Consider the following 26,469-nt stretch of genomic DNA (forward strand, 5'->3'; position numbering starts at 1 on the left):
GGATCTTGAGCATGCTGGTATTTGCACTGGAACTACAAAATCAGCTCTCCTGGGCCTCCAGTGTACTGGCCACAGATCTCAGTTTGTCTTAGCCTTCATAATCACTTGAGCTAATTCCTCATAATCAATCTCTTTATGTGAATATATATTATGTATATGTAAATATGTAAATATATATGCACACATAGGAGATATATATATATATAGATATATATATAGAGATATATATAGAGAGAGATATATATATAGATATATATAGAGAGAGATATATATATAGATATATATATATATCCTATTCAGTCTACTTCTCTACAGTACCCCAATACATGGGGGGAAATTTTCAAATGTCTCTATCCATGGTGTCTCCCTCAGTTGCCTTTTGAGGACAATTCTGTGACTGCACATGGATGATTTTATGTGTTGCCAGGGCTAATAGGTAAAGCTCCAAAATTAAGGAAGAGAAAAGGGAGCAGAATGATTTACCAAAGTGGCAGCATAAGCTTCTCTTGAAGAAAAGACTCAACTAAAAGGCAGCAGAAAGAGGATGAAAGAGAGGTGGGCAGTGTTTTGAGGAGCAGTTAAGTAAAAGAGATGAGGGGGAAAATGTAGCTTAGTGTGTGACTTGAGAGAGAAAGCTATGCAGAAGGATTTGGGGGATGTTTTGCTGGGAGCTATGGGGGAAGAATTTGCCAAGGAATTCACTCTGTGCCCAGAAGGCTCCAATAAACCCCAATACAGCTGTTTGAAGTTAGATTTATGTTTTTTGAGGTGAATTACCATGCTGAGGGAGCACTTAAGGGAGGAACTGAAAGACACAGTTTTATATGAGTTGTTCAAATAACACCTTTGAATTGTTCAAAATAAGCCCTTCAGAAAAGGTAAAAATATTATATTTAGAAAAGCCTACTCTTCACCAAAAAAACAACTAGAACTGATAAACAAATTCAGGAAAGTTACAGGATATAAAGTCAACGTACAAAAATTAGTAGCATTTCTATATGCCAACAGTGAACAATCTGAGAAAGAAACCAAGAAAGTAATCCCATTTACAATAGCTACAAATAAAATAAAATACCTAGGAATAAACTTAGCCAAAGAAGTGAAAGATCTCTACAATAAAAACTATAAAACATTGATGAAAGAAATTGAAGAGGACACAAAAAATGGAAAGATGTTCCGTATTCAAGGATTTGAGGACTCAATACTGTTAAAATGTCAATACTACTCAAAGCAATCTACAGATTCAATGCAATCCCTAGCAAAATACCAATGACATTCTTCACAGAAATAGAAGAAATAATCCTAAGAGTTATATGGAGCCACAAAGTATGGCTCCAGATCTGGAGTCAGAATAGCCAAAGCAATCCTGAGCGAAAAGAACAAAGCTGGAGGCATCATATTGCCTGATTTCAAATTATACTACAAACCTATAGTAACCAAAACAGCCTGGCACTGGCATAAAAACAGGTATATAGACCAATGGAACAGAGTAGAGAACCCAGAAATAAATCCATGCATTTACTATTGCAATGAATTTGTATTTATTTGCACTATTTTCTCTAATCCTGAGTGAAAATCAAAAGGCATGTTGATGACCACCAACTATATTCTGTGAATGATATTGTGCTATTTGAATTACAACCTCTTTTATTTGCCTAGGCGATGCTCCATCAATACTTACCCCAAAACAAATTTTCCTGTATTTGTGTTCTACTGCTATGTGACAAATTACCACAAATTTAGTGGCTTAAAAAACCACACACATTCACTAGTCCTATAAGACAGTTAAAAAAAAACCCCACTTATTATCTTGTAGTTTCCATGGGTCAGGAGTTTAGGCAGAGCTTGTGTGGATCCTCTGCTCAGGGACTCACAGGCTACATTCTCATCTGGAGGCTTGACTTGGGGAAGAATCCATTTCCCAGCTCTTCCAGTTGTTGGTAGACTTCATTTCCTTGTGACTGTATGACTGAGGGCACTGACTTTTTGCTGGCAATTGACTGGGGGTCCGTTTCAGGTCCTAGAGGCTGCCTAAAGGTCTTTGACACATGAGCTTTCTCAATGTGGCTGTTTATTCATCCAGCAAGGAGAATCTCTAGTTCCAGTCTACTAAGATGGAGTCTGATATAATGTAAGATAATTACAGGATGATGTCCCATCATCTTTACAACATAGCATAACCTAATCACTGGAATAACATTCCATCATCTTTTTACATTTTGTTGGAAGCAAGCCATAAGTCCTGCCTACCCTTAAGGGGAGGAGATTACACAAGAGTGTGAACACTAGGAGATGGGAATCTTTGGGGCTCACCTTGGCATCTATCTGACACTAACCTTATTATGCCATACAAATTGTCAACTAAATGAAAACTTTTCTATAGCAAGGGTTCATATAAAAGGCCTTAAACATTTCTCACTCATATAGATACATAGCTAGATAGACAGATACAGAAATACATAGGCACACACACACACATACCATACACATACTATCACAGAGCTTGAGAGAACCGTGTATGAAGTTAGACACCTGGTGTCTCCAATATCTGTAATAACTACTTCAAGACTTAGTGGCTTAAAACAATCACAATCTTATCTTGCTCATGAGTCTATGGGTCAGTATTTGGAGAGGGCACAGCAAAGTAGGCTAGCTTATCTCCTTTCTACCAGATGTCTGTGGGGCCAGGATGCCCAAGAAGGTATCTTTACTTGCAAGTCTGCAGCCTCAGCTAGGATAGCTGAAATGGCTGGGGACTTGCTGAAACAGCAAACCGGGGTCATCCTTGAGGGGCCTTGGTTCTTGTTGGCTGAAGTTCTCAGTTCCTACAATTTCAGTGCATTTCCCTGTCCATGTGGCCTCTCCACATAATCTCACTATAGGGTCTCTCCAGCAAGGGAGCTGGACATTTTACATGGCAGCTAGACTCCTAGAGGCAGAAAACAGAAGTAGACAGTTATCTTAAGGCCTAGGCTTGAAAGTCCCAGAAAGTCAGTTCTACCACATTCTGTTGGTCAAAGACAATCTTTATGTTTCCATTGTCTCTTTCACGTCTTCTTATACTGTCTTGGTAAGAAGACAACGCAATGTAGAATACAAGTGGTAGCAATGTGCATACTTGTCTCATTTCTGATTTTAAAGGAACTACAAATGTTTCCCCATTTAACATGACGTTTGCACTAGGTATTTAATAAATATTTTTATCAGGATAAAGAAGTTATCTTCCATTTCTATTTTCTAAGTGTTTATTTTTAATGATGAAGGCTTTTTCTTCAAGCTTTGATATGATCAAATGGATTTTTCTCTTTTAATGTATAATGGATTTTCTAATATTAAACCATCCTTGCATATCTAAAATAAATCCAACTTGATTACTATGTGCTATTTTTGATACAATGTTTGATTCAATTTGCTAATATTTAAGATTATTGTATTCATATTCACCAGCAAAATGAGCCTATAATTTTTCTTTCTCATAATGTATTCCTGGTTTTGTTTTGAAAGTTATGCTAGCTTTATAGAACAAATTGGGCAGTATCCTTTCTTCTTCTATTCTATAAAATAACAAATATTTTAACTGTTCTTTAAAAAACTCATAGAAATTTTCTGCAAAACTATCAATGTTTTCTCTGTGGAAAGATGTTTCTAATTGACAAAAATTGTATATATTTAGAGTGTAAAACATGATATTTTGATTATGTATACATGTGGAACGGCTAAATCAAGCTAATTAACATATCCATTACATTCCTCACATACTGCTATGATTTGAATGTATGTGGCCCTCCAAAAGTACATATGTAGGAACTTAAACTTTAAGGTGATGGTATTAAGAGATGGGGCCTCTGAAAAAGTGATTAAGTCGTAAGTACTCCACCCTCATGAATGGATAATAAAAGAAGTTTCAGAGCACTGCCTGGCCCTTCCATTTCTTCTGCTATGTGAGAACACAGCATTCATCCCTGGTGATTAGTGATGTTGAGCATTTTTTTTTTCTTGAGATGAAGTCTAGCTCTGTTGCCCAGGCTGGAATGCAATGGCGTGATCTCACTCACTGCAACCTCTGCCTCCTGGGTTCAAGCAATTATCCTGCCTTAGCCTCCCAAGTAGCTGGGATTACAGGCGCATACCACCATGCCCGGTTAATTTTTGTATTTTTAGTAGAGACGGGGTTTTACCATGTTGGCCAGGCTGGTCTCAAACTCCTGACCTTAGGTGATCCACCCACCACAGCCTCCAAAAGTGCTGGGATTACAGGTGCATTTTTTTCTCATATACCTGCTCAGCATTTCTATGTCTTCTTTGGAGAAATGTCTATGCAGATCCTTTGCCCATATTTTTAGTTGGGTTATTCATTTCTATGGGAAGATTTTAACTACTGTTTCAATTACTTCATTACTGCAATAGTTTAAGACTATTCAAGTCTTTCATTTCTTCTAGTAAATTATATTTTTTCTAGGGTTTTATCCTTTTAATCTAAATTTGTAAAACCATTGGCATAGAGTTGTTGATAGTATTCTGCTATGTTTAAATTTCTACTTTATCTTATTTATGTTCCTCTTTTTATTCATAAAATTGGTTATAGCTTCTTCCTTCTCTTGATAAATCTTGTCAGCAATTTATATTGTTAGTTGTTTTGAAAACTTAACTTTTGTCTTTGTTGGCCTCTATTTAATCTTTGCTTTATATTTCACTTTTATTGTATTTTCCTTCTGTATTCTGTAGGTGTATTTTCTTTTTCATTCACCAATATCTTAAAATGGGCATTAATCTCATTAATTTCAAGTCTTTATAAATTTCCTAGAAGCACAATTTTTCTTGCATCCCGCAGGCTTCTACATAGTAATTATTATTCACTTCTAGGGTTTTTAAATTTATGCTTTTTAAGAAAACTATGAGTTACTCAGCAAATTGTGTTTTATAGATTTTGAAATAGGCAGTATTAAGTTTTTTATGTTTTTGTAACTAATTTCTAACCTAGCTGCATTGTGGTCAGAGATTATCAGTGTATGTAATAGCTAACCTCTGAAATTTACTGAGGCTTTCTTAATGGTCTAGTGCATGAATAATTTTTGAAGATATTTCAAAAGTGCTTGATAATTGTTGGATACAGAACTCTGTATTCATGCATTAGATTAAGCTTATTAATTGTGCTGTCTAGTTTTTCTTTTTCTTTTTTTTTTTTTTGAGACCAAGTCTTGCTCTGTCACCCAGGCTGGAGTGCAGTGGTGCAATCTCAGCTCACTGCAACCTCCACCTCCCACGTTTAAGCAATTCCCATGTCTCAGCCTCCCAAGCAACTGGGACTACAGGTGCACGCCACCATACCTGGCTAATTTTTTGTATTTTTAGTAGTCATGAGGTTTCACCACGTTGGCGAGGCTGGTCTCGAGCTCCTAGCCTCAAGAGATCTGCCCACCTTGGCCTCCCAAAGTGCTGGGATTACAGGCATGAGCCATCGCACCTGGCCCAGTTTTTCTATATCTTTGCTGCTCTTTGTCTGCTTGGTCTAACCACAAGTAAGAGCAGTTACTTGAAATCTCCCATAGTAACAGAGTAACCATGGATTTACATATATCCATTTCTTTCTACAGAATGCTTAATATATTTTGAGGCTGTTTTATTCAGTGCATACATGCATTAAATCATTATATATTCAGTATATAATGACCCTCTGCAACCCTAATAATATTTTTTATCTTCAAGTACATTTTATTTTATAGTAATATAGGCCAATAGTTTTCTTTTTGCTTTGCCCAATTTGTCTTTATTCATCTTTTTGCTTCCAAATTTTGTGTCGTTATTTTAAGATGTGTCCCTTATATGTCTGGATTTGTTGAAATACAACCTGTCTTTGTCTTTTAAGTATAAACTTAGTCCATTTTTAGTTATTGTTATTATTATTGATATATTTTGACCTGTTTTTACCACTTGAATTTGTTACTTTAGACTGTTCCTTTATTTTTTATTTTTTCTTTTAAAAAAAATAAAAACTAGCCAGGTGTGGCGACTCACTCTTGTAATCCCAACAATTTGGGAGGCTGAGGTGGGCGGATCATTTGAGTTCAGGAGTTCAAGACCAGCCTGACCAACATGGTGAAACCCCATCTCTACCTAAAAAAAAAAAAAAAAAAAAAAATCCAAAAATTAGCCAGGCATGGTGGCGAGTATCTGTAGTCCCAGCTACCTGGGAGGATGAGGCATGAGAATTGCTTGAACCCAGGAGGAGGAGGAGGTTGCAGTGAGCCGAGATTGCGCCACTGTACTCCAGCCTGAATAACAGAGCAAGACTTCATCTCAAACAAACAAAAAAAAGAAAAAGAAAAAGAAAAAACTAAACTACCCATCTGTCCCCCTTCATAAGAAAAGAAATTTAGGCTGGGCATGATGGCTCATGCCTGTAATCTCAGTACTTTGAAAGGCCACAGTGGGCGGATCACTTGAACCCAGGAGTTCAAGACCAGCCTGGCCAACATGGTGAAACCTTGTCTCTAGTTAAAAACCAACCAACAAACAAACAAACAAACAAAAAATAGCCAGGCATGGTGGCCGGTGCTTGTAGTCTCAGCTACTTGGGAAGCTGAGGCATGAGAATTGCTTGAACCCAGGAAGAGGAGGTTTCAGTGAGCTGAGATCACGCCACTGCACTACAGCCTGCATCACAGAGGGAGCCTCTGCCTCAAAAAAAAAAAAGAAAGAAAGAAAAGAAAAACAAAAACTAAACTACCCACCTGTCCCCCTTCATAAAAAAAGAAATTTAGGCTGGGCATGGTGGCTCATGCCTGTAATCCCAGTACTTTGGGAGGCCAGGATGGGCATATCACTTGAGCCCAGGAGTTCAAGACTAGCCTGGGCAACATGGTGAAACCCCATCTCTACAAAAAATACAAAACTTAGCCTGGCCCAGTGGTAGTGTGTGCCTGTAGTCCCAGCTACTCAGGAGGCTGAGGTGGGAAGATTACCTGAGCCGGGGGGCGGAGGGTAGGGGGGGTGTCAAGAATTTCAGAATTAAGTCATCACATTCTCCATTCTCTTTCCACATTTCTCCCTGCCCCCACCAAAAATAAAGAAAGACTCTGTCAGGGTTTCAACTAAAATTGCTCTGAATTTTTACATTAATTTGGGGAGAATTATCAGCTTTGTATTCTGAGTCTTTCCGTTCAAGAACATGATATATGTTTCCATTTATTTAGATGCCTATTAATGCCCTTCAGTAATGCTTCACAGTCTTTTTTCTTTTCTTTTTCTTCTTTTCTTTTTTTTTTTCTGAGACGGAGTTTCGCTCCTTTTGCCCAGGCTGCAGTGCAATGGCATGATCTCAGCTCACTGCAACCTCCGCCTCCTGGGTTCAAGCGATTCTCCTGCCTCAGTCTCCCGAGTAGCTGGATTTACAAGCGCACACCACCAAGCCCGGCTAATTTTGTATTTTTAGTAGAGGCGGGGTTTCACCATGTTGGGCAGGCTGGTCTTGAACTCCTGATCTCAAGTGATCCGCCTGCCTCAGCCTCCCAAAGTGTTAGGATTACAGGCGTGAGCCACCGCTCCCAGCCTGCTTCATAGTCTTTTTCATACAAATCATACATATCTTTTGTTAGATTTATTCTTACATATCTTATGCTTGTGTTGCTGTTGTAAGTGGCATCATTTTTTAATTATACATTGTCTAGCCATTTGTTTAGGTTTAGAAATGCAATTGACATTTGTACATTAATCTTATATGTCATATCAGCAATCTTGCTGAACCATAAAATTGATTATAATTTTACGATTGTTTTTCTATAAATTTTCTTAGGCTATCTATTTAGACAATCATATTGTATGCAAATGTTGACAATATTTCTTTCCTTTCTAGTTCTTTCTCTTATCTAACCGCATTAGCTGGAATCTCCAGTATAATGTTAAATAGATGTAATAAGAGCAAGTATACTTGTTTCATTCTTACTTTAAAGTGAATGGTACTATTAGGTTGGTGCAAAAGTAAAAGTAATGGCAAAAACAGCAATTACTTTTGCAGCAACATAAATAATATTCACCATTAGGTATTATGTTTGCTGTAGGTTTTTGGTAGTCACCCTTTTTCCAGTTAAGAAAGTTTTCTTTTATTTCTAATTTATTCTAAGTTTTTATTATGAATGGGGATTGAGCATAATCGAGTATTTTTTCTATATCTATTGAAAAAATTATATTAATTTTCTCATTCAATATTTCTAAGAGGTCAATTATATTACCTTTTATGAACACCGATGTTCAACTATCTTTTTCTTTCTGAGATTAACCCAACTTATCATGATATCTATGATAATCTAAATCAATTGCCTATTATTGTCTTTTTTTCACAGTGTTTGTCTCACAATGTCCTGTGGTTAAACTCAATACTAGGTGGGGAATAGTTTTTTTTAAATGTTGTTTGAAGAGTCTCTGTAAGTTTGGAATTATCTGTTCCTTCAATGCTTGGTAAAATACTATGAAAAGTGACCTAGGTCTCATGTTGTTTCTGTGTGGGTAGAGGAAGGACAGAAAGAATAGATTGTTAATCACCGATTCAATTTCTTTAACACTACTTCTTCGATACGCTTCCATCTTTTTACTTCTTCTTGAATTTATACTGGCAAGTGATATGTTTCTAGGAAGTTGTCTATTTCATCTATATTTTCAAGTTCATTGGTAGAAAGTCCTTTGTAGTTTTCACTTATCTTTAATTTCTGCTGAATGTGCACTTTTTTTTATTTCTAACACTGTTTATTTATTTATTTTTCTCTTGTTTCTTATCAGTCTGCTGGAGGTTTGTCTATTTTATTAGTCTTTCCAAAGAACTTCATCTTTATTTTTTCTATTTCATTAATGTCTACTTTTATCTTTATTTCTCTTCTCATCTTTTCTTTGGATTTATCCTGTTGATCATTTGCTATCTTAGGTTGGATGCTTAGCTTACTAATTTTCAGCTTTCCTTTTTTTCTGATGTAAACATTCGAAAATAGAAATTTCCCTCTGTTTTGCTATATTTCATGAATTTCAATTTGGTATTTGTATGGGTAGTTCTAAGCATTTACAAATTTTAATTGTGCCTATATTTATATTCATAAATTATTTAGTAAAGTTCTTTTAAATTTCCAAATATATGAGTTTTACATGAGTTTAATTTTAACTTTTCATTGAAGAATAATATGCATATACAAAAAAACATAAACACACAGCTCAAAGAATTTTCACAAATGAAATAAAACTATGTCACCAACATCCAGATCAAGAAGGAGAACTTTGCCAGCACTCCAGAAGCCACTCATATGCTTTCTTCTAATCACTGTCCCTTCCCAAGAGTAAGCACTCCCCTGACTTCCAACAGCATAGATCTGCCTGCTTTTGTATTTCATATGAATGGAATCATACAATATGTAGGCTGTCTTGTCTGGCCTCTTTTGCTCAGCCTTAAATTTTGGGATTCATACATATTGCTGCATGTAACTATAATATGTTAATTGTCATTGCTGCAGAGTCATTCACTTTATTAATGCACCACAATTTCTTTATCCATTCTACTGTTAATGGACATCTGGTCAGTTTCCAGTTCAGGCTATTCTAAATAGTGCTGCTGTTAAAATTGTAGTACATATTTTTTGTTGAACATATGCATACCATTTCCACTAGTGTAAATGAATTATTGGGTCATAGGTTATATGTATATTCAGCTTTAGTTGATATGGTCAAACATTTTTTACAAAGTGATTGGACCAATTTATACTCCCACTAAGAAGGTTATTTTTGTAGTTGACTTCTAACTTAATTGCATTATACTCAGCAAATGTGATCAATATATTATCAGTTCTTTGAAATTTATTGAGACTTGCTTGATGTTAAATTTTCCACAATCTTCCATGTGTGCTTGAGGACTCCTTTCCCACCAACCTCTTTCATGTCTAGTTTATCCTTCCCATATTTCTTTTGCACAAATGAGCAGATTCACATATATTTTCTTATATCTCTTTTTCTTACATAAATGTCTACCACCATATGTTTCAAGAATTTTCAAGATGTTCTATTTTTATAAGCTGCTTTTTTCATTACTTTTACGTCTGATTTTGGATTAACTAGGGACTTTTCCCTCTCACTGTGATGAGAAAAGTATAACCTCTATATCTGTATTTTTAGTAATTATGCTTCTATTTTTAACTCTCATACTTGGTTCATGTCTAAAGGTAATTCACATGTCAACTTTTCTCTAAACAATTCCAGGAACTTCATAATCTCAAAAAAAATGTTTATTGATTGCCTGCTATTTGTTAAGGACTGTTCTATGCACTTTACTTATAACAAGTCACTTAAGGTCTCAGAAGTTAAGAAATTTGCCAGGGTTTCAAAGATATCAATTCACGAGACTGAGATTCAAGCCCAGGAAGTCTAGTTTCATATTCTGTTACCTTGAAAACTATAATTAACCTGAAATGTGAGTTAGGATCCTCTCTTCTCATGTTACACATTATTCTCGTCTAGTATTTTTATTCAGTTTTTTTCTTTGCTCACAATTTCTTATCACATCTCACACTTTTCTTTTGAGAACAGCTTTCTTGTTCCTGAAGTACATCCTTTTAGAAGTACCTTTAGTGAGGATCTGTTGAAGGTAAAAAATTCTCAGTATTTATCAGTCAGCAAGCATATTTATTTTACGATAGCTGAGCTGAGATTAACAGTTATGTTCTCTCACAATTTTGAATATATCATTCCATTGCCTTTTATTTTCTATGTCACTGATGAGAATTCTCTCACTGTAATTATCATACCCTTTGCAAGTAAATTGGCTTTTCATTTTTCTTGCTTTTGTAAACTTCTTTTAGTCTTCAGTGTTATACAGCTGCACCAAGATATAACCGATTGTGAATTGCTTTCTGGAAATGTTGCTTGGAATTCATTATATCTCCTAAATCTGAAGATTTATGTCTTCATCAATTCTGAAAAATCTTTACACAGAATCTCTTTGAATAATATCTCTCCCATTCTCTCTATTCTTCCCTTTTGGAACTCTAATTAAATGGATGTTAGACCTTCTTATCCTATTCTTATTAATGAATATTTGTGATGGTTAATTTTATGTGTCAACTGTACTGAGTTATGAGGTGACCAAATACTTGGTTAAACACTATTGATCTTCTCCTGTCCTTGGACTAGGACTTACACTCCTGGTTCTCAGGCCGTCAGAATTAGACTAGAACTCACATCATGGGTTCTCCTGATTCTCAGGCCTTTGGACTTGGACAGGAAGCACGTCACCAGCTTTCTGGGTCTCCAGCTTGCAGATGGCAGATTATAGGACTTCTCAGCCTCTATAATCATGTGAGCAATTCCTTGTAATAATCTCTTTACATATATATATATATGAATATATATGGTTTTGTTTCTCTGTGGTTCTTTTTCTCTACAGAATCCTGAACAATACAGATTAGGTACAAAATTAGGCTTTATTATTGTTTTAGTCAATGTTAGTTTCAGTGAAATAATGTTTCATTTATGCTTCATATTTTAAAAACTCATTTGTATCTACTTTCCTCTAATATGCATGCATACAGACATGGTCTATTGATTTGTTGATATTTTCTGTATTAATTTTAAGGACTTTTATATACTAAAAAAATTAGCCAGCTGAGTGCAGTAGCTCATGCCTGTAATCCCAGCACTTTGGGAGGCTGAGGCAGACAGATCGCTTGAGCCCAGGAGTTTGAGAGCAGCCTGGGCAACATGAGGAAACCCTGTCTCTACAAAAACATTAAAAATTAGACAGGAGTGGTAGCATGCACCTGTAGTCCCAGCTACTTGGGAGGCTGAGGTGGGAGGATCACTTGAACCCAGGGGGTTGATTCTGCAGTGAGCCATGATCATGCCACTGCACTCCAGCCTGGGTGGCAGGGCAAAACTCTGTCTCAAAAAATAAAAAATAAAATGCTGCATCAGTTAGATATCGTAGAGAAATGGCCACTCCAGGGCAACCAGATGACCTTGTATGTATTTACCTAGGCTCTGCAGGAAAAGAACTAAACCACAGCCAATCTGTGTCTTGGCTCAGCAAGGAAGAACACTTTGTGACCCTCCCAGAGAATAAGAGCATGGGAGGCTTGTGAAGGTCTGCTCCAATTCTATCTTCTAATTACTTCCCTATCTCCCCTGAGAAGCTGTTGTGAGACAGGTTCTCATTGCCTCCTGGATTCTGATGATGTTCAAGTCTTTCTGCTTCGCCCTTCCACCTCGGAATAGAGCTGCAGAATATAAATCCACTTGGCTGCAGTTTAGAATTGGCTTCTTTTTCAGTGGGATATCCCATAAATCTCTGGTCCCTTTTGTTTTGGTGTTGTCCATTTTTTTTTTTGGTGGGTGGGACAAGGACCATGGAGGAGCTTTCACCCTTTCCCTGTCTATGTAAGTAATAAACTGACTGAATATAGAAGTAGTACATTGTATCCTTATGACCAAATCATTCAGCTCTTGGCCTTGCCTTCTCTTGCATATGCTTCACAGATATCTACAAACAAAAAAAGCAAAAGTTGATCCCTGCTTCACACCATACATAGAGTCAATTTGTGATGAACTATAAACCTAAATGACAAAGATAAAATAATAGAATTTCTAATTTCTTAAGACTTCTTCTTTGACCTCTGCGTTATAAAGCATTGTTTAATATTTTGGAATTTTTTTGTTATTGATTTCTGGTTTAATTCCATCATGGTCTGATATACTTTGTATCATTTCTATTCTTTTACATATCATATACTTTGTATCATTTCTAATTACATACTTTATATCATTTCTATTCTTTTAAGTTTAATTTAAGTATATATTATATACTTTGTATATTATATACAAATATATAAATATTATTATATATATTATTATATTATGTATAATATATATAATATAATATTATATATAATATAATATAATATATAATATTATATGTAATATAATATAATATTATATATAATATATATAATATATTATATGTAATATATATATTATATATATTATATATAATATATAATATATAATATCATATAATATATATATATTACATATAATATATTATATATAATATAATATATAATATATATATTATATATAATATAATATAATATATGTAATATATAATATAACATAATATATAATATATAATATAATATATATTATATTATATATATAATATATTATATATATTACATAATATATATTATATTATATATAATATTATAATATATATATTATACATAATATATTTGTATATTATATATATAAATATATATACACAAAGTATATTATATATTATAATAATATAATATAATATATTATTATAATATATATAATATAATATTATAATAATATATTATATATAATATTATATTATAATATATAATATAATATTATATATAATATTATATATTATAATATATAATATTATATATAATATTATATATTATAATATATAATATTATATATAATATTATATATTATAATATATAATATAATATATATATTATATATAATATACTTTGTGTATATATATTTATATATATAATATACAAATAATATATAATACACTTTGTATCATTTCTATTATTTTAAGTTTATTCAAGTATGATTTAAGGTCCAGAATATGGTTTGTCTTGGCAAATATTCCATTAGCTTGAGAAGAATGTGTATTTTGCTGTTGTTAAATGAAGTACTATATAAATGTCAATATTAGATCAAATTGACTGATGACACTGTTCAGCTCAACTATATTCTTACTGATTTTTTTGCCTGTGTGAACAATCAGTTACTGAAGGAGAGGTATTGAGGTCTCCAACCAGAAGAGTGGAGAGGAAGTGCTCTATAGCCCTATGATTAAGTCTTTCAAGGAGCCTGTGTCCCCAGGCTGTAATCTCTTTTCTTCCCCTTAGGTGACACAGAAAGACTAGAGGAGGTTGGAGGTGGAGAATTTCCCTTCCCTCACGTCAGATAAGGCTCTGGTACCCTTTTCTGTTGCTGAGTAGGCCTCTGTTATGGGGAACACTCTGGGTGTATTTCAGCATGTTTGCTTTTCCCTTCTGCCTGCCAGAAACATGAAGAATTTGCTTGGCTTTTTACTGTAAGAATCTGGTGGAATTCCTGGAGGTAAAACTCCTAAAAGGAGACTTCCTAAGAGTGCAATTCTCAGAAGTTTCTCACTTCCAAGCTAGTTCAGACTCAGCCTACAACAATTAATCAAAGTTACTACTTATGCATTCTTACTGGTTGAATGACTCCAGCAGTTTTTAATTTCAGCAAGCTGATCCCAGCTATGATTTTCTGTATTAATCTGTCACTCCAGATTTTGGGGTGCTGGTTTGTCCTGTGACCTCAATTCTCTGACAGAAAAAATAAGAAAAGTAATTGATTTTCAGTTTGTTCAATTTTCATCCTTGTTGTAAGGACAGGAATAATAACTTCCAAGCTCCTTACATGTTGGAGCTGAAACAAGAAATTCTAACAATAGAGCTTCTAAGTCAAGAAGATAACATTGCAAAGAAATCTCATGTCCATGGATAGGCAAAGGTTTCTTTTTTTTTTTTTTTTTTTTTTTTTTGAGACGGAGTCCCGCTCTGTCGCCCAGGCTGGAGTGCAGTGGCGCTATCTCAGCTCACTGCAAGCTCTGCCTCCCAGGTTCATGCCATTCTCCTGCCTTAGCCTCCCGAGTGGCTGGGACTACAGGCGCCCACCACCACGTCCGGCTAATTTTTTGTATTTTTAGTAAAGATGGGGTTTCACCATGTTAGCCAGGATGGTCTCGATCTCCTGACCTCGTGATCCGCCTGCCTTGGCCTCCCAAAGTGCTGGGATTACAGGCGTGAGCCACCACGCCCTGCCCAAAGATTTCTTAAACTGGACAAAAAGCAGTTTAAGTTTAAGATGAGTCAGATTTTGTTAAAATTTGAAACTTCTGTTTATCAAAAGAACCATCAGAAGAGTGAAAAGTCACAAGCCACAGAATGGAAGCATACACAGTCATGCATCACATAATGACGTTTTGGTCAATAACAGGCCACGTATACAACTGTGGTTCCATTAGATAATAAGACCATATTTTCACTGTACTTTTTCTATGTTGCTATGTTTAGGTACATAAATACTTGCCACTGTGTTACAATTGCCTGAAGTATTCAGTAGTGTAACATGCTGTATAGGATTGTAGCCTAGGAGAATAGGCTATACTGTATAGCCTAGGTGTGTAGTAGGCTACACCATCCAGGTTGACGTACGTATATGCAGTCAGTGATGTTCACACAACGATGAAATTTCCTAAGAGAGACATTTCTCAGAATGTATCCCCATCGTTAGGCAACACAAGACTGTATTTATGATACATATATCTGACAAGGAACTCATAGCCACTCCCATAAATAAGAACAAGACAAAATCAAAAACATAGCCAAAAGATTTGTACAAGCGCTTCATAAAAGAGGCTATCCAAATGACCAATAAGCATATGAAGGCCAGGCATGGTGGTTCACGCCTATAATCCCAACACTTTGAGAAGCCAAGGAGAAAGGATAGTTTGAGGAGTTTTGAGACAAGCCTGGGCAACATAGAGAGACCCCCATCTATGTTTTTTTAAACGGAATCTCGCTCTGTCTCCCAGGCTGGAATGCAGTGGTGCAATCTCAGCTCACTGCAACCTCCATCTCCCGGGTTCAAGCAATTCTCTTGCCTCAGCCTCCCGAGTAGCTGGGATTACAGGCATGTGCCACCACACCCAGTTAATTTTTATATTTTTAGTAGAGACGGGGTTTCTTCATGTTCGCCAGGCTGGTCTCAAACTCCTGACCTCAGGTGATCTGCCTGCCTCAGCTTCCCAAAGTGCTGGGATTACAGGTGTGAGCCACCGTGCCAGCCAAAAAAAGTTGTTTTAATCAAGCAGTCATGGTGGTATGTGCCTGTAGTCCCAGTTACTCAGGGGGCTGAGGCTGGAGGATTCCTTGAGCCTGGAGGTTGAGGCTGCAGTAAGCTATGATCACACTACTGCACTCCAGCCTGGGTGACAGAGTGAGACTCTGTCTCTAAAAAATAAAATAAAATAAGCATATAAAAAGGTACTTAATATCATTACTCATCAGAGAAATGTGAAATAAAACCTCTATGAGATACCACTGCACACTCACTAAAATGGTTGGTTTTTAAAAAACTAACAATACCAAATACTGGAGAAGATATGGAACAACGCAAGAACTTTTACATATTGCTAGTAGGAGTGTAAATGGGTACAACCATTTTGGAAAACTGTTTGGCAGTATGTACTACAGCAGAGCATTCAAATACCCTATTTTCCATCAGTTTAACTCTTGCAATTCATTGATATGTGTGCGCCAAAAGACATGTACAAGGAAGTTAATAGCAGAATTACTCACAATAGCCAAAAACTGGAAACAACTTAGATGTTCTTTAATAGTAGAAAAGATAAATAAATTGCACTCTATTCAATGGACTAATAAAATATAGTAAAGAAGAAGGACAAACTACAGTTATACACGCAAAGAAACTTGATGAATTCCACAGACATAAGGATGATTACAATAGAGTGCCTACTGTATGATTGCATTTCTATAAAGAACAAAACCATCAAAAGTTAACCTACGGTGACAGAAGTCAAAATAGTGTCTGCCCTTTGTAAGGGTGAGTAATGACTGGAAGGGAACAAAAAGGTGGCTTGTAGGGTGCTGGTAATGTGTTAATTATATTTTGATCTAGGTAGTCATTAGTGGGATATGTTCACTTTGTAAAAATTCATTAAACTGTCTCACTATTGGTGCAATTCCCTGTATATATGTTATTCTTCAATAAAAAATGTTTACTCTACTCCCACCCCCACTGTCATCCCCAAAAGCATTTTTTAGGACTTCATAATTCAAAACTAGGTACTAAGTGTATTTGTAGAGCTAAATGTTCACAGAATCTGGTAATTTATGGTCTTTTATGAGGTCTCCTTTCACCCCCGCCCCTTGACTATGAAAGCCTTAACAAAGAGGCAAGTCTTACTAAAACAATTCCCATGTTCTTCATATTCCTAAGGCTCCTCTGACATGAGTCCAAAAATCCAAATCACAGCTGGAGGTTTTCTCATAAGCCCCATATGAGTACCTTTTGTCTTAAGTTTGCTTTTTCTGTATGTGCAGTCGAGCGTTTTCCTACAGGAGCCATTCTGGCTGCTCTTCCCCTGCTGATGTTTCATCTTTGTCATTTCAAACTGTTCCTATCACTTTTTAAAACTTGTTGTGAAATATCAAGAAAATGAATGTGATCTCAAAGCTGTGGAGAAACAGGCTCAGGATCACATTATCCTGAGGCAAATAGCAACTGCGAGGGTCAAGTGGTTTTTTGGTTTGGTTTCCCAACTCAAAAGGAAATGTTAAAATTCACCATTTTGTTTTTATTTTGCTAAACCCAGAGTCAGATGGCCCCAACAAACCAAGACTGACATTGTACAGAGCATATACCTTACTCCTGAGGTCCCCAGTGTCCTAGCTGCATGCCCTCTAGGGTAGTTCAGTCTACCTACCGTCTAGGCCTACTGTCATCTGATTTTCAGTTCAGCAAATGTCTTAGATTGGAGAGTTAAATTTTTAAGTTATGGCCAATCCACACTTTAAAGCAATCATACCCATAAATAATCCATGTAAGTGTTTATGCAGTCGTTCTCTTCCCACTTCCTTCTTTCTAAGTGTTTTGTATTTACAGGAGTACTTCCAACTCTGCATTTTTATTCATATGTATAATTTCAGACTTCTTTCAAACCTACTGCTATTATATAAGTGAGTTCTGCCTCCACTTACTGATTTATGGTCTTCATTTTAAGAATGTTTTATTTTCTTAAAATCCTATAAAACACAACATCTTGACAGGAAAAAAATGAAAAATGTTGTACAATGACTAAAAATACATACAGCAAAATCTAAGTAATCCAATGACATTCATTTTTATTTCTCAGCTTAATAAAGGTCTGCTTATTGTTCTTAAAACAAACAAAAAAACCACACCTTTATTAGTATCATGTAGAAAAATCCTCAAAGGAAAGTATTTGAATTGATTCCTCAAAAATTATATTTAGAATTGTTTAATAGAAACATTGTAAATGGGTCAAGATTCTATGAGGAAAGGACATTGAATACACTTATGTTCTCACCTTTTAAAAAATTGGATGACTTTTAAGTTACAAAATAATTTTTTAAAAATGTTTCTTTAAGATTCAATAATTTTTTTTTTTTTTTTTCTGAGATGGAGTCTCGCTCTGTCACCCAGGCTGGAGTGCAGTGGCATGATATTTGTTCACTGCAACCTCCGCCTCCCAGGTTCAAGTGATTCTCATGCCTCAGCCTCCCAAGCAGCTGTGATTACAGGCACCTGCCACCATGCCCAGCTAATTTTTGCATTTTTAGTAGAAACAAGGGTTCACCACGTTGGTCAGGCTGGTCTCAAACTCCTGACCTCAGGTGATCCACCCGCCTCAGCCTCCCAAAGTGCTGGAATTACAGGCTGGAGCCACCACGCCTGGCCTCTGAAAAGAGGCAACCACCATCTTGCTGTGTGCTCACATAACCTCTTCGTTGCGTGTATGTGGGTAGAGTAAGCTTTGATCTCTCTTCTTGTAAGGATACTAATCCCATGATGGGGGCTCTACCACCGTGAACTCATCTACACCTAACTACCTCTCAAAAGCCCCATCTTCAAATATCATCACATTGTGGGGACAGCACGCTGGGGGGACGGGCACAATTCAGTCCATAGCAATCTACTTCATTTGAAGATATTTGTACTAACATATTAAAATAAACCTTAATAAAAACAGTTTTTAAAATATAGATGCATTAAATGTAAGCCTGATAGAAACAAATTATCATTAGTAAAATATTTAATTCTTCAATCAAATATTTATGTTCGATAAGTACTTTATCATATTATTTAATTTGGAGCTGGAAAGGTCCTTAAACATTATTAAGTCCACTTTATCAAATAAGGACATATACTTCCAAGAATGCAAATGACTTGCTCAGGGTCACATAGATATCAAAGCTTTGGTAGAATCAAGATTAGACCTCAGATCACCTGTCCCTAAACCAGGGCTCTTTCCATGAAGCCATACTGCATAACACATGCTCTTTTGTTTTCAATTTTTTTTCAAAGTTAAATATGCATATGCATAATATGCATAAATAAGTCATGCAGTTTTACAAGGTTTATTTCAACTAACAGGAGCCCTCTTTCCCACTTCCATTTTCCATTCACTACAAATTTCTCTTAACACTTTTTTCCAATGTTTGTGGAATTTACCTCCTTATTACTAAATATCATGTTTATATTGCTATTGTGATTATTCTTTTGTAGGTATAATATAGAGGCTCTCCTTTTGCAGCGCTCTATTATACACACACACACACACACACACACACACACACACAGAGATTTCTTCTTCCACCATCTTTCTAATAAAAATACCTTGTAATTTTGCATAGATAAATATTCCATATCTTATGACTATGGAAAGACTATTGAGTACTAAGCCATGTGGTACACTGTTGCTTTTCCTTTCCTCCATAACTTTATGTTCTGCCTGGAGTTAATGTGTCTTGCTTTTCGTTTGCTTGGATTTTAAGGTATGTATCACGAATTCAACTATAAACTCCTCTCTTATGTAAACCTTTTCTCCATACATTCAAATGTGTAATCTATTTTACTAATATTTTTCTCCTTGAAGTAATCTTCCTGAGAGCCTCTGGACTGGGCTGATTACTTTCTGGGCCTGCTGTACATCTGTCACCTCAGGACCTCCCGTCACCATCATCTTGGGGTTCCCTTCCCTCTCACTCCCGTTGGATCCCCTGATTCCCAGATTCCATGTCTTCCTCTTTCTTGCTTTACTCCCCTCCCCTTTTGGGCACACAATCTACAGTAGATTCTTGAGAAAGGGAAATATATAGATTGTTTTGCTGAACCACTTCAGAATAAGTTTGTCACTTCTCTAAATATTTCAGCAAGTATCTTCTAAAACAAGGACAATCTTCACACAAAACCATAATATAAATATCAAACCCAAGAAATCAGTATTATTTAATGTACGCACCATAATCACATTTCCCCAGTTGCCCAAATAGTGCCCTTTCTAGCTGTTTCTTTTTTAATCCGGGACCCAGTCAAAGATCATGCATTGCATTTAGTTATTAGGCCTTGTTAATCTCATTTCCTTTCATCTAAACTGTTTCTCCACCTTTTTTTATTCACATGACAATGACACTTTTTAGGAGCTTAAGCCTGTGATGAATATGTTCTAAATTTGTCTGGTGTAGGTTGCACATATGAAGAACATACCAAAAACCAATTATACAATTTAAATGGGTGAATATGTGCAAAATGTCTCTAAATTTGTATTTGTCTGATTGTTTCCTTGTGGTTAGAATTAGGATCTGATTCTTAAACAAATTTGCAACCAGTCCCCCTGTTTTCAAGCCTCATCTTTACCTGCTCTCTCAGAGCAAATGATCTCCTTTCATCCTGGCGTTTTTGGGGAACTTTCAGGTACAAATTAAGGTATTTTTTGCTTTTTCTCACTGCTAGGTCAGAATCCTGCTTTCTACAGTTTGCCCAAGTCAGTCTCCATCCCAAGTTAGCCCATCTGATTTTGTTGCTTTTGGTACCTCTCTTGTCTGGAAGAGCTCATGTCTTTTATTAAAGCCTTTATTATTGTTTTACTGGAATTCCAGGAGGGAGCAAATGTAAAATGTATGTGTTCAATCAGCCATATTCAACTGGAAGTCCTATTCATTTACTTTTGAAATTAAAAGTTTATATAATCACTGTAAATTTAATACATGCTTTTTAGAGAACATTTAGAAAAAAATAATAAAGTTGGAAAGGGAAGAGCTCATTTATAGTCCCACTTCCTAATACAATCACTATTCATATTTTTTTTTACTACTTCTGCTTCTTTTTCTTTTGCTACAAGCTATTGCATTTTCCCATCAGTGTGGGGGTGTATATATATATATGTATACACACACTTATATATAATATATTTTATATTTTATATATAATAGATAGATGCTGGTAGATGATGTACATATTCTTTGGTGAGGTGTCTATTCAGGTCTTTTGTCATTTTTTTGTTTTGTTTTGTTTTGAGACTGGGTCTCACTCTGTGGCCCAGACTGGAATGCAGTGGTGTGAGCTCGACTCTCTGCAACTCTGCCTCCAGGGTCCAAGCGATTCTCCTGCCTCAGCCTCCCGCGTAGCTGGGATTACAGGCACCCACCACCACACCCGGCTAATTTTTGTATCTTTAGTAGAGTCAGGGTTTCACCATGTTGGCCAGGCTGGTCTCCAACTCCTGACCTCAGGTGATCCACCCGCCTCGATCTCCCAAAGTGTTGGGATTACAGGTGTGAACTACCGTGCCCGGCCACCTTTTGCCTATTTTCTAATCAGGTTGTTTCTTGTTCTTGAGTAGTAAAAGCTCTTTGTACATTTTAGATAACAGTCGTATCCAATAGTTTTTTGCATATATTTTTCCCAGTCTGTGACTTATCTTCTCATTCTCTTGACAGTGTCTTTCACAGAGCACGTATGCTGCTGCTTTTTAAAAATAAAATCATACAATATACAACAAACAGTACTCATGCTGTTACAAAGATCTTGCTTTTTTTTATTGTGATAAAATATATATAACATTCTAGCTTTTTTAAAGTGTGCAATTCAGTGACATTAGGTACATTCACTTTGTTGTGCAACCATCACTACTAACCATCTCCAGAACTTTTTCATCATCCCAAACTAAAACTCTCTACCAATTAAATAATAACTGACCATTACTGGCTCCCCCAGTGCCTGGCAACCATCATTCTATTTTCTTTCTCTGTACATTTCATTACTCTAGGTACCTCAGATAGATATTTGTCCTTCTGTGAATGCTTTTGCAATTTAACATTACAATATTACTCAATGATATACCAAATAGACCATAGTTTATTTACCCATTTCTCACTGTTGAACATGTTAATTGTGGTTCCAATTTTTTGCTATTATATTTGAACATATTTATGCATTATATGTTTTAAGTAACAATATGCCTTTATAACAGATTTCTAGAGGTGGAATTACTGAAAATAGGCTAAGAGTATTTTTAAGAATCTTGATACAGTTTTCCAACTTACCTTGCAAAAAAATCTTAAGAATTTATGCATCCACAAGTGACATAGAACAAGTGCCTATTTCACCATATTCTCAACAGTATTATAATCTCAAGTCTGTGCTAACTTGATCAGCAAAAAAACAAAAAAGTACCTGTTAGTTATGATATGCTTATGACACTTGTGAGACTGACCCATTTTCCAGTTTTATTAGTTGATCTCTCTCTTTTGTGAAATTTTGTGCATATCCTTACTCCATTTATCTAATGTATTCTTAATGGTTTTCTTATAACTTTATGTAAAGCTCTTTATATAACATAAGTAGCCATCTTTTGTCTATAATGTTTTCTGTAAATACTTTCTCAGCATGTTTGCTTTTAAATCTTTGCTTCTTTTTTAACATAGAGTTGTTTCCAGGAATTCTTAAAAATAGAATACACTTAGGAGAAAAAAGGATGGTCATGGTGAACTTTAGAATTCTCTTTCAGGCATGTGATTTCATAGGACATTAATTATTCATCTCCAGGAGGGTCAAATTTCCCAAGATGAAGTTTTCTACAGCTAAGCCAATACTTTTGCATAACATTTAAAAGCAAATTGACAATTAACCTTGGACAATAGAGCAATGATGTAAGATTACCCTTGCAATAAACACTGTTTAGAAGTCAGGTTGCCCCATTCAGCACCAGCTGGAACTACTCTGTAGGATAAAATGTGCATTACTCTCTGCTGTTTCCAATGCCAAGCACAACTAAGGTCTTTACTAATTTGTAGCAAAAATTTTAGAACAACTAACAGACCATAACCAAGGTGTACAATTCCTACATTGCAAACAAAGCCCAAAAAGGTTGAGTTGTCACTGATTTCCACATATGGAGCCTTACTTTTTCTGTACCTATATTTTGAAAATAAGCATCTTTCCTGGGCAGGCCACATAACAGGATTTAGGAGAAAAATAAAAGAGACTTTAAAATAAAAACTATAAAAATTATTACAACCTTGAGCAAGCTACAGAGAGTCCTAGGACATTTGCTTATACACCTGGGCATTTATGAAAACTAGAGGAAAAGAAAAGATGCATTTGTTATGACAGTAACACTCCACTTTGCTTTGCAAGAGGAGAGAGTCCTACCGTGGTTTCTCTGCCCACACCTGACATTCAAGGGCATTTTGCAAAGGAAATCAGTGAGGATGAAAATCCAAGTCACTTGATGGCTGCGTGATTCAAAAGGCAAAACTAGTCTCGTCTTCCTCTTATACCCAAATTGGAGAAAAGTTATAACTGTGAGTTTACAGAAGACAAGATGAATGGTACTGTCACAATCATAGTCCCCACAGTTTCTGAGATCTAAGACAGTGAACCAAGTCCAAGCCAGATTTAGTGCATTCTCACATGCCCGGGGCTTGTAAAGGGGCAAACTTGAAACGATTTCACTTCTATGCCAAACAAGCAATAGGAAAAGGTTTATGGATTTTATTTTTGTAACAATAGTAGAATTTTTGCTTGCACTTCATAATTTATAAAATGGCCTTCACATAAACACATTATCTTATTAATTCATTTAAATGGTGCCACCACTCTGGGAGCTGGGTACCTCTATATGTATGCCCCACGTATCAAAAGGTGCCTTAAATATTCTAAGTACTCAATAAATGCTTTTTGAATAGATGTGTATTAGGTGAACTTCCCTCTTCAAATGGACCACATGAATAGGTGAGCCATCATACCTCAAATGTAAGGAAGTAGCAGTGATTTGTTATTTGACAATTCACCCATGAACACACACACACACACACATGAAGTAGCATGATGCATTAGGTGGAGGGGATTAATTATATTTTATTAAATAAGTCACATTAGTTACTATGCCTTTTCCTCACTCAAATCCAACCAATTCTACTTTTTAACCCTATAACAAGGTCTTCCGAAATATATATTTTTTAACTAGGCAGGTGTAAGAGTATTTGGCCTGTTAGTTATTCCTTGATTGGCTAGGTTATAATGTGGAAAGCTGACAGTTTTGGAAGTCCATGAGTACAACATAGTGCTTCATCAAGGCTTGCCATAGTGATAGAGTCCAAGGGGTAGGGTTGGACAATCTCCTGTAGTCCTATCCTCCTCTACAACCCATAATTATAAGAGCATGAAATTGAAAACTTGGAAGTTTAAAATGTCTTCACTGGCAAAATGTGGCTAAGAGAGGATCTCAAAGATTCCTTAGAGAAAAATCAAGAAATCTTATACCAAAATGTGGGCAAAATAGTATTAAGAGACAGTGGTGCCTGAATACAAAATAGTAACATCAGATAATACATAGTATCCACTACAAGACAAACAAATGAGAAGATCTTAGATATTTGGAATTGAGAAAGTGAGACCATCAGTAAAAAATATTTTATGTAGGCCGGGCGCGGTGGCTCATGCCTGTAATCCCAGCACTTTGGGAGGCCGAGGTGGGCGGATCACCTAAGGTCAGAGTTCAAGACCAGCCTGGCCAACATGGTGAAACCCTGTCTCTACTAAAAATACAAAATTAGCCAGGCGTGGTGGCGCATGCCTGCAATCCCAGCTACTCAGGAGGCTGAGGCAGGAGAATCGCTTGAATTGGGGAAGTGGAGGTTGCAGTGAGCCCATTGCACTCCAACCTGGGCAACAAGAGCAAAAACTCTGTCTCAAAAAAAAAAAATTTAATGTTATAATTCATTTTGCTCACTATTTCTCCCATGGCACTTCTTTAATTCTTCCATTATACTGCAATTTTTTTTTGGTCCATTGAGGCATTTTTCCTATAAGCATGTATTACATCCCTAGAAAAAGAATCCCAGAATTTTCCCTCCCGTGTGTTTTTGTCTTGCTTCTTCAAGGTCTGTGATGCCAGCTGAGGTGGTCAGCACAATAAAACCAAACCGACGAGACAGGAGCATATTATTCTGCCATCTTTCTAGGTCTTTAGGTTGCACATCAAATCTGGGGCTGATCACTCCACACTTGTTTAACCAGACTGTGAGGTTCACAACAATTTTCCCAGCTCTGTGATCATCAATGATTTCAAATTTGCCAATGTAATCATGTTTCATCACAGTTAGAAACTGGATAATGACTCTGGAGCACAGCCTAATAAGAACCTGGGGTTTGTCTCTCTTTGACATTGTTGATGCTCTTGAGAGCATCAGCCAGGACATTCATGTGCACAATTATGGCAGCATGGAAAGAAAATGTGTATACTGGAATATTTATGGGAATGCCTCTCCCACTAGAGCTTTGGCTCCTGGCATGTAACCATTCATCATTCATCATGTAGTCTCAGGAATGGGAACACTGAAGATGATTTTTTTTAGTTTCTTGAAGGAATAAGTAAACAAACTCATTTTAGTTTTTCTTTGCTGGTCTTTCTTCTACACCCTTCCTTGTCCTTTGATCTGCCTTTCTTTCTTTTTCACATGTTCGGATAGAAATAAAAACACCTATATTCTAGCCCTGGTTCTGATATTTACTAACTCTGTGGGTCACTCTTGTTCCTAACAAAAAATGGGAATAGTAGCACCTGTCATTCCCTAACTCTTTGACAGAAATGTCACATAAATTCTGATGAAATTGTACATGTGAAATCATGCCAAAGGCTTCAGGAGAAACAATTAGATAAATCGGAGGTAGTGTTTTGATAATTTGTATTGTCTATCATATACTGCTCTGCAAAACTAAGAAAACATTAGGAAAAGCTAGAAGTGAACAGGTAGGTGTAGCAAGGGAACAGTGGTGAAATCTAAGTGTCATCAAAGGAGCAATTAATGCACCATCAAATCATTTTTTCCCAGTTAAAAATACAGTGTTATTAAAATGGTTCTCTGGGAGGCTAAGCAAAACTAAGCCAAAAATGGACAATTAACCACAGGATACATCTGAGTTTCTGAAAGACTCTGAAGCAGTTATACCCCTTTATGAGACCAAGTCATTTTCATAAGCAACATTTTACAGACTTTCTTAAAAATGGGATGAGAAGTTACATCCTCATTACCACCACTACTCTCTACCTCCCACTCTAGCTTACCTCATTCTGCTTTATACCTAAAACAACTTGGGATCTGACTCTTAGATAATTGCAACAGTTCTCTTAGTGGCTTTCTCTAATGGGGCAGAGGGGGCATTCCTGGTTAGGTGTTGCTAGATTGCAATTCAGAGCAACCTCCTTCAACGGAAAGTCTATCTAACTAGTAACTGGCAGATTCACATCACGAAAAACAAACTGTAATAATAGGAAAAAATAAAGGCAGACTTGGCTCAAAAGGGTCTCAGCTACTGCCA

General features: G+C 36.0%; 1 pseudogene; it reads right to left on the reverse strand.

Annotated features, from left to right (window-relative positions):
* RPS15AP4 (ribosomal protein S15a pseudogene 4) lies at positions 24,935-25,380 on the reverse strand (annotated as a pseudogene).

This window comes from Homo sapiens, chromosome 14 (genome assembly GCF_000001405.40).
Source record: "Homo sapiens chromosome 14, GRCh38.p14 Primary Assembly".
NCBI classification, from domain to species: domain Eukaryota; kingdom Metazoa; phylum Chordata; class Mammalia; order Primates; family Hominidae; genus Homo; species Homo sapiens.